Source organism: Homo sapiens, chromosome 4 (genome assembly GCF_000001405.40).
Source record: "Homo sapiens chromosome 4, GRCh38.p14 Primary Assembly".
Lineage (NCBI taxonomy): Eukaryota > Metazoa > Chordata > Mammalia > Primates > Hominidae > Homo > Homo sapiens.
The window spans coordinates 75,241,203-75,254,176 of NC_000004.12; the positions used below are offsets into that span (position 1 = coordinate 75,241,203).

A 12,974-nucleotide genomic window follows, 5' to 3' on the forward strand; every position below is an offset into this window, starting at 1 on the left:
ACAATCATGACACCCAAGAGTTTCCTTATGCCCTGTACCCAGGCCACTACTGATCTAATTTTTATCACTGAGATTACTTTGCATGTCCTGGAATCCTATATAAATGGAATCACATGGTATATATTCTTTTTTGTCTTACTCTTTTATATAGCTGATTTATTTTGAGATTTATGTATATTGTTGCATGTATTGATAGTTGTTTTTGATTGGAGAATCATATTCCATTATATGAATGGATCATAATTTGTTTATCTTTTCATATGTTGATAGTCATTTGGGTTGGTTAAAGTTTGGGGCATTAAAATAAAGCTGCTTTAAACAATTGAATGCAAATCTTTCTGTGGACATATGCTTTTATTTCTCCTAGGTAAATACCTAGGAGTTGAAGGGTTAGGTGTATGGCATATGTTTAACATCTTAAGAAACTGCCAATCTATTTTCCAAAGTGATTGTGCTATTTCACATTCCCAATATCAGTAGATGAGAGTATTTTGGTTGCTCCACATCCTGCTAACATTTGATATAGTCAATCTTACTAATTTTAGCCATTCAAGTGGCTAAATATGTAGTAATATGACATTGTGGTTTCATTCTGCATTTCCATAACAACTAATTATGTTGAGCATCTTTGCATGTGTTTATTAGCCATACATATATTTTCTTTGATGAAGTCTGTTCAAATCTTTTTCCATTTTTATTGGATCATTTTTCTTCTTATTCTTTCATTGTAGGAGTTCTTTATATATTCTAGATACAAGTCATTTGTCAGTTACATGTTTTGCAGATATTTTCTCCCAATCTGTGTTTTGTGTTTTCATTTTCTTAACAGTATTCTTTTCAAGAGAAAACATTTTCAACTTTAGTGCCAAAAATTTTTGTCTAAGCACTGCTTTAGCTATATTCCACAAATTTGGATTTATCATGCTTTTATTGAAGTTCACATCAAAATACTTTCTGAATAGTAAACATCCCGTTACTTGCCATCCCTGGGTTCTCTCCCCTTTCTTCACTCAAATTTAAAGAAAGAGACAGAATAACCACCAACTTGAGTGATGGCAATTGACAATTTACAAAACATTTCTTCACTTCACTGAAACCTACAAATATTATTAGTCCATTTTACAGAAGTGGGAACTATAGTTCAGGAGATTAAAATAATTTGCCCAAGGTGGAAATATCAATAAAGGCAAATTCAAACCTTACTCAAGTCACCTGACTCTAAATCCCATGCACTTTTCATTGTACTTTATCCAGCTCTCTAAAAATCTAAGTTAAAGCCTTTTTGCAAGCTAAGTGTCTAAGATAGCTTGTATTTTAAAAGATGGCATTCAGACCGGGGACAGTGGCTCACACCTGTAATCCCAGCACTTTGGGAGGCTGAGGCAGGCATATCACTTGATCCCAGGAGTTTGACACCAGCCTGGCCAACATGGCAAAACCCCATCTCCACTAAAAATACAAAAATTACCCGGGTGCAGTGGCATGCACCTGTAATCTCAGCTACTTGGGAGGCTAAGGCATAAGAATCGTTTGAACCCCGGAGGCAGAGTTTGCAGTGAGTGGATATTACGCCACTACACTCTAGCCTGGGTGACAGAGCCAGACTCTGTCTCAAAAAAAAAAAAAGTTCAAAGGTATATCCTAAGGACTCTCAGATTTCTAAATGTGGTAATGTCAGACACAGCAGCCACAGAGAGTAGTCAATATTCTTGCCCAACAAGTCCTCTCTCATCTTTGAAATCATCCTTTAATAGCAGCCCTGGCCATATTTCATCCACTGCAATCCAGGTGGCTTGTGTTTCATCTCTATTAAGCAATTTCAATAGCCTGGCAAGTGGTTCTCAAATTGGCACTTAGAAGACTCCCCTTAGGAAATCCCAGTGATTCTGATTTAATCAGTGTCAAATGGAATACGGGAATCTGGGGTTTTTTTTTTAACAAGCATCATAGATAATTCTGATGCAGGATATTAGTGGATCACCCTAAACTGGTAAGGAGGGAGTAGAGGGTAAGGACTGAGTGGGAGGAGAGGAAGTGACAGAGTAGGAAGAGAACTGGTTATAAAGTGCCTTGTCAGCCCTCTTTAGCGATTTAAATTTTAACCTAGGAGCAATGGGGAATAAATGAGGTTTTTAAGCAAAAGAGGTACATAATACATTTACACTTAAGAAAGATGATGATGGTGAAACGTAAAGAGTAGATTAAACAGACCAAAGACAGGGCATAGGGAGAGCATGAGGAGGCTGTTGTAACAATTCTGGCAGTGGAAGATGGTAGTTTGCTAGCAGGAATGGGAAAACTTTGAGAAAAAAAATTAACATACGTGAACAGACAACATGCAGTGAAAGGGTTCAATAAAAAGAAAAAAATATCAAAAAGCCTAATGCAAACTGCTAGTAAGGGCCTATAAACAAGAAATCAGTACACAGAGGACCTCTTGTACTCTGAAGCTTCCTTGACTCTGTCCTTTCAAGAGACTTATTGTTTATGATAATAAAAGGAATTTACTGCCTCAGATCACAAAAGGTTGTTGCTTAGAATTTGGGCAACAACCACGTTAACCACAGCCATATTTTTTAGCAGAGGTCTCTCAAAGCAGTTTTATGATTCTCTCTCATGAAAGTCTTCCCAGCCAGCCTATCGTCCCTCTGGTGCGCCTTGTTTATAGGCTCAGGTGCTCTGTGCTTCATAATGGAATCATCACTCAGTTTGCTATAAAGTTTGGGAAGGAACTTTGTCCTGAGTCCAACATTAAATGTATTCAGAGAAACCCTGGCATGGATGGCCACATGTTAGTCCTGGGATTCTGTGAACAGAATCTCATGTGTAATGTAAATCCAGATTTGTGAATTTATACTTATACATTGTATATTTATTCTGTCTAATAATATTTTAATCACATCCTATGTCTTTCCCTGGGGCTGGTATAAAAGGTTACAGGTTCAAATCTCATTGAGGTGGCATCTTAAGTCAATATATTTTTAGCCCTCATATGATTTTATTATTTCCTCTAAGCATGGTCCAATAAAGTGATAATAATTTCCTTTGTACCCACTTAAAGAAAGAAAATTGCCAGGGGAATAAAGAGATGATTCCTACCAGAAAAGCCTAAACAAGAAAAGAGGGGGAACAAATCACTGAAATTGCCAAACAAGGGGTAAGAGGCCAGTTTTAAGACAGAGCAAGGAACCACTGAAGCAATGGTTCTCAACACTGACCTCACGTAAGAATGACCTAGGAGTTCTTATAAAAAGTTTTTTCCAGACCAATTAACTCATATCTCTGGGGCGGGGCCCCTGGCAAACGTACGCTTTATAAACTCCACAAGCATTTGTAAGGTGCAGCACTAGGAATCACTGCTATAGGAAGTCAGCATCCAAGAACTCCGACTTGATATGTTGTACTACAAGGATTAAGTGAAAGTACGTATTTCTTCTACCCCATACTAAATGTCTAATCTGAAGTTTCAAGAAAAAAAAATCAATAAATGAAAGAACATTTTTTAAAATTGTATATTTCAGAAATGAATATGGCATTTTTTGTCTTCTGAAAGCATAAATCAGGTAATGCCACTTTTAGAAATAAGTATCATTTTGCTGCTTTTTCTCATCTTTTAAAAATGTAAATCAGATCCTGTCACTTCCCTAGGTCCACTCCTTATGTTTGCAGGCCTTGGCAGAGGGACAAATGGAGGCTACCTAATGTTTATTTAAATGTTTAAATTAATAGATCTAGCTAATACCTGTTATATAAAATATATTCCATCCTCCTATTTTAAGAAATGTCTGTGTCTGGCTAGCCATATGTAGAAAGCTGAAACTGGATCCCTTCCTTTCACCTTATACAAAAATTAATTCAAGATGGATTAAAGACTTAAATGTCAGACTTAAAACCATAAAAACCCTAGAAGAAAACCTAGGCAATACCATTCATGACATAGGCATTGGCAAGGACTTCATGTCCAAAACACCAAAAGCAATGCCAACAAAAGCCAAAATTGACAAATGGAATCTAATTAAACTAAAGAGCTTCTGCACAGCTAAAAAAAACTACCATCAGAGTGAACAGGCAACCTACAGAATAGGAGAAAATTTTTGCAATCTACTCATCTGACAAAGGGCTAATATCCAGAATCTACAAAGAACTCAAACAAATTTCCAAGAAAAAAACAACCCCATCAAAAAGTGGGCGAAGGATATGAACAGACACTTCTCAAAAGAAGACATTTATGCAGCCAACAGACACATGAAGAAATGCTCACCATCACAGGCCATCAGAGAAATGCAAATCAAAACCACAATGAGATACCATCTCACACCAGTTAGAATGGCGATCATTAAAAAGTCAGGAAACAACAGGTGCTGGAGAGGATGTGGAGAAATAGGAACACTTTTACACTGTTGGTAGGACTGTAAACTAGTTCAACCATTGTGGAAGACAGTGTGGCTATTCCTCAAGGATCTAGAACTAGAAATACCATTTGACCCGGCCATCTCATTACTGGGTATATACCCAAAGGATTATAAATCATGCTGCTATAAAGACACACGCACACGTATGTTTATTGCAGCACTATTCACAATAGCAAAGACTTGGAACCAACCCAAATGTCCATCAATGATAGACTGGATTAAGAAAATGTGGCACATATACACCATGGAATACTATGCAGCCATAAAAAATGATGAGTTCATGTCCTTTGTAGGGACATGGATGAAGTTGGAAACCATTATTCTCAGCAAACTATCACAAGGACAGAAAACCAAACACCGCATGTTCTCACTCATAGGTGGGAATTGAACAATGAGAACACTTAGACAGAGGGTGGAGAACATCACACACCGGGGCCTGTCATGCGGTGAGGGGAGGGGGGACGGATAGCATCAGGTGATATACCTAACGTAAATGACGAGTTAATGGGTGCAGCACACCAACATGGCATATGCATATGTAACAATCCTGCACGTTGTGCACATGTACCCTAGGACTTAAAGTAGAATAATAAAAAAAAGAGAAAGAAATGTCTGTGTCTAACAACAAAAAATCAGAGGAGCTCTGTATGGTTTTCACATGAGTAAAAGCTGGCAAAATATCAAAGATGACTAAATTAGATTATTATTACACATCTCTGAGTGTTCCATTGATGGGCCAGCAATGTTTGTAAGAGTAATAAGGTATACATAGTCCACAAATTATTATCTATTTATGAAATAAAATTTATTTTTTCTTGCCTTCATTTTAGCATAATCAGTAATTATATTGTTATAATCAATATTTGCACATAATTTATGTTCTAGTGACAGTAATGTCAAATGAAACCACCTTTTGAGTTATTCTTCTTAGTTTGTTTTCTTATTAATTTCAACTTGAAGAAATTTTCTCCTGCTGAGACAGTAGCAAACCGGATTGTCAATAAAATTATTTTTTTTTAGAGATAGGATGTCACTGTGTTACCCAGGCTGGTCTCAAACTCCTGGCCTCGAGTGATCCTCCCACCTTGTCCTCCCAAAGCACTGGGATTACAGGTGTTAGCCACAATGCCCAGCCAATAAAATTCTTAAGTTAACATTTAGATTCAAAAATAAATCTCAAATTGTATTTACTACATTAAAATGTTTTAATGAGGCTGCATATAATTATTGCTTTGCAGAAAGTATTAAAACCATTTTAATGTAAGATTATAGATTATCATTTGTATCACCATTTTCACTGTTAAACAATGCCTAGAGCCTGAAGAATCTCATGTGCATGCACGTGTGTGTGTGTGTGTGTGTGTGTGTGTGTGTGTGTGTGTGTTTTACTAAAGCATGGAGCCCAGGACAGGGGCCCCTCTAGTTCAGTCTAAAGGCAGAACTGCTTCCCTTCTTGTAATGGCTTTCCTTAGAATTACATCTAAACTCCTTACCAAGAACTGCAAGGCCCTACATGGTCTGACTTCTGCCGAGCTCTGAGCCCTCATCACCCACTGCTCCTGCTTTTGTTCAGTGGTCTTTGATCTGCTCCTCAGACTCCACAAACTCCTTCTTGTTCAGAAACTTTCCACTGGCTCTTACCTCTGCCTAACACAGCTGCTTTCAACTCTACCTGGCTGGCTTCTTTCAGTCCTTCAGGTTTCAGCTTAAGGCAGGCAATATATGTAGTGATTATAAGCACAGATTCTGCAGCTAAATTCCCTGAGATCAAATCTGGCTCTACAATTGCCCATCAGTGTGTTCCCGGTCAAGTCTCCAAATGGATCTTTCAGTTTCCTCTTTTATAGAAAGGAGGCAATAGTACTTTCTCATATGACTGCTGTGTAGATTGAATGAGTTAATAGAAATAAAACTCAGGCTAGCATAGAAATAAATCATAGCAATATCATATAAATCATAACAATAAATCATAGCTTAAGAAATCAAAAGTCACCTCTTCAAAAAGACTTTCCCTGACCACCCAACGTAAAATAGCTTCCCACGGGCACATCACTCTATTTCATTTTTTCCCAGTATTGATCACCATCTGAAACTGCATTGTTTATTTTATAGTTGTTGTCTGTCTTCTTCCCCTAGATGACAAGTTTCATGAGAACTGAGCCCCTGTCTCAAAGTCCGTTGCTATATACTCTTGTGCCTGGCACATAGTTGAAGTCATTAAATATTTGTTGATTAGCTAGATTTTATTTAAATCCTTCCAATTTTAAACCAAATCAGAAATTATAGGTTTAGGAAGATGAAATTTACTCTTCTTTTTCCAACCAACTCATCTCAAATTGTGCTCATTTATAATAGGTTACAGGCATGTGCGCAGAGCTGCAGTGTGCTAAAAAGTAGGTGTCAAAGGTAGTATGGGGGTCATGGTGTTGAAGACTGCCAGCCACTCGCAAACAATGAGAGACACTTCTAACGGTCTCAAGGAAAGAGGAGTCTTTGCAGTTATCCAGCTAATTTAGGCAATGTGGATTTCCCACCTGACAGATTTAAACTGTTGTTTGTTGTTAATGAACAAATTGACCAGAAAATGACCAACTTTTGCCTTGTACAGCGGAAGAAGTCATAAGCTACGGAGGCAACTATTCTCTAAAGAAAAAGCAAGAAACATGGGTCTTAATAGAACATCATCAAAATTTGTGAATGAACACAAATACCAGGGGTGCCACTTGAAATTATACCTTCTAAAGTAAGAATAAAAATTCCATTGTCCAAGAATGGAATCCATTTCTTTGCTGACTATTGTCTTGCTTTTCACAAACAGATTTCTTGAGCATGCTGGACACTGGCATCAAGCCAAAGACATAAGAAAGCAATGCAACGAATCCCATTCTAATTTGGGTAATGTTACAGATAGCTAAGTCTCAAGAGCCCATGTGACTTGCCCATAAGAAAGCTGTCTGCTGTCCACCGCACCCTGTGGTAACAACCTGAACACCTCTGTCTCCTTTGCCTTCTGTTCCCCCATGTTCCCCCAGTGTTTCTCACTTTGCGCATTCCTACTCTTCTGAATGGAAAAACTGATTTGTCTCCCTTTGAGCTCTTGGACAGAAAAGATAGAATTAAAATAAAACACAATGATCATTCACATTGTGTAGAGAGAAGCTATGTATCTGAACCAAAACCTGTGTCAGAAATGTATTGAATAATACCAAAAAAAAAAAAAAAATGACACTCAAAGGTGTGGCCCAGTTTCTCACTGCTGCAAGTACAGGGAAATGTGTAAGAAATGACTCCAATCATTTCAAATGGTGTTTTGTTTCCTGACCAGGCCACCATAAAGGGTTCTATTAGTTTACATAAGCTGAGCACCTTCCCTATACGCAAACACTAACATCCTGTGAAATAAAAAATAATGGAACACTGCAACTCACTGCAGTGACAGTAGTCCCCACTTACCTGCGGTTTACCTTTGAGATTCCAGTTACTCACAGTCAACTTTGGATGGAAAATGTAAACTGAAAAATTCCAGAAATAAACAATTCCTAAGTCTTAATTTGCACACTGTTCTAAGTAGTGTGAGGAAATCTTGTGCTCTGCTCCCTCCTGCCCAAGACAAGAATCCTGTCTTTGTCCAGAGTATTTGTGCTGTTTCCTGCCCATGAGTCACTTAGTGGCTGTCTAGGTTATCAGATCACCCACTTCAGTATCACAGTGCTTGTGCTCAAATAACCTTCTTTTTATGTAATAATGGCCCCAAAGCACAAAAGTAGTAATGCTGGCAATTCAGGTATGCCAAAGAGAAGCCATAAAGTGCTTCCTTTGAGTAAAAAGGGGAAAGTTTATCACAGGAAGGTATGTATGGAAAAAAAGCAGTGTATGTTTTCAGGCATACACTGCGGCTCTTGGAAAATATTCCCCGGAGATAAGGGGGACTACCATATTCATAAACAACTGCAGAGACTGAGCTTTCTAAATCTCTACCACAATTTCCAACAAGACTGTGTCAATAAATTCCCTTAGATTGCATCCTTTTGCCTGATGGTTTACTGACAAAAAAAGAAATAAAATAAGGACATCAAATTTGCTTCATTCTATGGAAGTTTTATTCCAAGTCTTCAAAAGGAAAAAGGGAAGAAACAACAGAAGTATTGAGATGTGAATTCACTCATATAGAGAGCAAGTTCAGATTGTTTATAATCTGCTGGCACACTGACAAAGCAGTAAAAATAACAGTTTACATCAGCACCACCTGGCTCAAAAAAAAATTCTTTTATTCCTTGTTTTGAGGGAGTTAAGCTGATATCCACCCCCACCCACCTACCTATCCACTTTTCTGGGAGGACCTTAGACTAAGCCAATGAAAGGGAAGTCCTGATATAGCAGCCTGTGGAGAATTAGATCTAAGGGACAGAGCTGCCGCATAAAGCTGGACAATCTGAAGGATGCACAAATTATCCTGGCCTGGGAGGAGACGTTCAGCCTGAATTTGATTCACCAGTGCTTGCATCTGGCTCAAGACTGTGTCCAGGGTGGCAGGGTTACCTTTGTCTATTTTGTCTTCCCAGACAGGGTGCCTTTTTCTAATTCATCAAAAGGAGCCATATAAGAAGCTCCTACTCCAGTATAAACTCCAGCATCACTTCTTCACTGTGAAGGTTTACACCTTACTTTTCCATGATCTTTATATGGATGTCTATAATTTTAATATTTATCACATTATAATCATTTATTTGCATGTCTGTTTTGACATAAGACTTCAAGATTCTTGAAAGCAGGCACTGAGTACTTTTCCCCTCTTTTATACCCAGTTCCCAGCATAGAACTTGGTACAAAATAAATTGTGCCAATGCTTGAAAAAATATGCTTATTGTATGGATGTTTGGAAAAATGGATGGATGGATAAATGGACAGATGAGTGAAATCCAGAACAGACCTATCAAGAGTATGAGAATTGGCTTGGAGTCAGGGCAAAGGACTTCTCTTCCTGTTTTTTCTCTATCCTTTGACAGTATTGGTGAAAGAACAGAGAATAAAAGTCAAAATAGTCAAGAAGAGATTTTGTTAATGGTAGCATTCCTCACTCAATAAGCTAACACAACTGTATGCAACTAGCACTGTTCTGTAGTTTTTGAGGTTGTGCTGGATATCTTCAATTTGCCCTCTCCCTGCACAAATCAATTACTAACCCATCTCCACCTCACTTTGTACCCTGGGAGGTGGACCTATATGGGCTACAGTAGGAGAATTAAAGAGTGTTTTGAGACAGTCCACTCTGGTGCATCTTATGTTGGCTTTCCTCCACCCCCTCCATCAAAACTTATTTTTTCTGTACCTTCCTTTAAGTGAGAGACTACAGAAAGTTAAGTGTCACGCTTCCCAAAGTTTCCTTGTATATCTGGGGAAGACACTCACTAATGTGACCCCTCAGGTAAATAACCTTCTGTGGAAAGCAGCTTTAGTGGAGCCATTTCTTTGGATACCAGCCTCTGGAGTGGAGCGCTGAGTACTTTAACATCAACAGCAATAAATCCACTCTAAGCACATTGGAACAAATAAACATCTTTAAATTTAACAAATCAGAATGCTTTGATCCTTGTGATTTTTTTATCCTCACTGGAGGCAAGCTGGGGTCCTTTTTACAAAAGTTTTGCTGCCTAATCCATTGCTTCCCAAACTTTTTTAAAAGAAAGGACATTTAGAAAACGACACTATTTGTAATATAGAGCGTGGAAAATAGTTGAGGTTGTTTGCTGTTACAAACAGCCAGCCTGGGGGCTCCAGCCCTAGTGTCTCCTGCAGCCCAACAGCTGAGGGGGTCAGCCTCTCGCTTGACATTCTGCCTTCCATCTGTGTGCCGCAGTGAAGACACACACGCTGTCGTATTCTGCTCATATCCCTGACACTGAACACGGATGCTGCCACTAGAACTACAGCCACCTTGCCCCTTTGGATGTCATTGTGGCCACCACTGCTGCCAGCCTCAGAATGGATTATGTGTGGCTTATTTCACACAGCTGGCAGAGGGATTTGGTCTGTTGTTTCTCAATGAGTAGCCTCTAGGCCCGGTTATTAGGTCCCCTGGGAAATCACAGTATCTTTTTATTTCATGTTCTAAATTTATTCACAATGTTCTAAATTCAAAGCAATACAAGGTACATACACATGAAGAAGTTTCGGTTCCTCTCCCAGTGCACCTCATTGGCCCTCACAACTTCTAAGTAACCACTCTTAAAGTGTATGGATGCTTCCAGCATTGTTTTTTGCAGATATGAGTAGAAATCGGTATTCTTATCACTCTTTTTTGTTACACAAAAGGTGGCATGCTGTCTATACACTATGTGTGTAGATGTGCATTCCTTTGCCCTTTGACATTTTGCCATGTGAGTACAAGAGAGCATGCTCATTCTCTTTTACAGTGGTATAGAGCATAGATTTCCATGGTGTGGATCCATACCACAGTTTATTTTAGCCTATACCTATTAATGTTTACTTGGCCTGTTCCCAATATTTTGCTGTGATAAACAGCACAGTGCTGTGTATGTCATTTTTTTACGTAGTAAGTGTGTTTTTAGAAGAAATTCCTAGAAACAGGATTGCTGGGTCCAAGGATAAGTGCATCTATAATGTTGATGAATATTGCCAAACTGTCCTCCATGGCATGGGCTTATCATTTTGCACCGCTACCAGCAACATCTGAGAGTGCCTATTTCCCCACAGTTTTACCAGGGTATGTTGTCCAATCTGTGGATTTGTGCCAATCTGATAGGCGAAAGTAATAGTTTAGTGTAGTTTTAAATTTTATTTATCTTATTATGAGGGAGGCTTATCATCTTTTCACTTGTTAAGGCCATCTATATTTGCTTTAATAAATCCTCTTTCTGCTGGAATTAGCTAGAGCTGGTTTCTGTCGCTATATATTGTGACACAGTTTAAAACCTTCTCTCCTGGAAGACAGAGTGTTTCTACATGCACTTATTTTGTACTTTATTTTGGTCCTTAAAGTACCAAAGTGGAGGAGCTGGATTCTACCCTAAGAATACCTCCCTCTAAAGATAGAAGAAAATGAGTTTTGTTTTGTTTTGTTTTGTTTTTAGTTTATAGTCTCACTTGTTTATTTTTGCTTTTGCCTGTGCTTTTGGTGAGATAGCAAAAATATATTTGCCTAGGCATACATCAAGGAGCTTTTCCCCTATGATTTTTATTAAAAGTTTTACAGTTTTAGGTGTTTCAGTTTCATATCTTTAACCCATTTTGAGTTGATTTTTGTGTATGGTGTAAGACAGGGTCCAGTTTTATTTTTTTGCATGTGGATATCCAGTTTCCTTAACACCAGTTATTTAAGAGACTATTCTTGAGACTATTCTTTGCTCATTGTGTCTTTTTTTTTTTTATACCTTAAGTTTTAGGGTACATGTGCACAACATGCAGGTTAGTTACATATGTATACATGTGCCATGTTGGTGTGCTGCACCCAGTAACTCGTCATTTAACATTAGATATATCTCCAAATGCTATCCGTACCCCCTACCCCCACCCCACAACAGGCTCCAGTGTTTGATGTTCCCCTTCCTGTGTCCATGTGTTCTCACTGTTCAATTCCCACCTATGAGTGAGAACATACGGTGTTTGGTTTTTTTGTCCTTGCGATAGTTTGCTGAAAATGTGGCACATACACACCATGGAATACTATGCAGCCATAAAAAATGATAAGTTCATGTCCTTTATAGGGACATGGATGAAGCTGGAAACCATCATTCTCATCAAGAAGAGGAGTTAATGGTGATTGTAGGCAGCCTCCACCTCCAGAATCAGATCCAGACTCCTTGACTTTATCAGGTTTTGGTGTTAAGTGCTTGAGCTGGGAATAGGCAACACGGTGACCTGTTGATACACCATATTTTTAAGTTCTAACTCTAGCTAATGTTTCAATAACTTCACACCACCCACAGATGTTATATTCTTGTGTCTTCTCCCTCTTTGCTCTCTTCTCTTCCTACCTTCCTTGTATTCTTCCCTTTTTTTTGTTATTCCTGAGGATTTCAACCAATGTAACTTGAGGGGGCAAGTGAAGTTGGTCAAATCGTCAAAATGTTCCTCTGTTCTGTAGCATACCTTGTTATTCCCAATGGATTTCAAAGACTTCAGCAAAGTTTTTCAATTTAGCCTGACATCAGCATGTGGATTCCTCCCACTCAAGGTCTCAACTTGGAGGAAATCAGAACTGGGAGGAATCCATGCTATATGTCAGGGCTGGAGGGAATTCTCCTGGCCTAAGAGGCCAACTGCAGGAAAGCAGGTTGGCAAAATCACAGCACAAACCAAGCAGTGGACATCACTGAGAGGTTCAAACCAGCAGACAGTACTCAGTACCAGAAAGCCTAACCTCCTACAGTACTGGTTACAACAGGGAGGCTCCAACATGTCTGCCCAGGTATGGCAAGATCCCACCAGAGGGCACGGAGTCTGGGAGGGAAGCGGGGAGTGCAGGATATGGGAACTAGCACCAAGAAGGACCAGCAGGGGCTAATCTGGGGTTTGGGGCTAAGTCTCAGTGCCAGAAAGGAT

At 38.9% G+C, this 12,974-nt stretch overlaps 1 annotated feature.

Moving 5' to 3' along the window:
* Window positions 10,648–10,717: an enhancer, noted in NCBI's record as "active region_21616". NCBI's record gives its function as "activates an Ori minimal core promoter by ATAC-STARR-seq in GM12878 lymphoblastoid cells {active_cell/tissue: GM12878}" and the evidence as "EXISTENCE:reporter gene assay evidence [ECO:0000049][PMID:35858748]".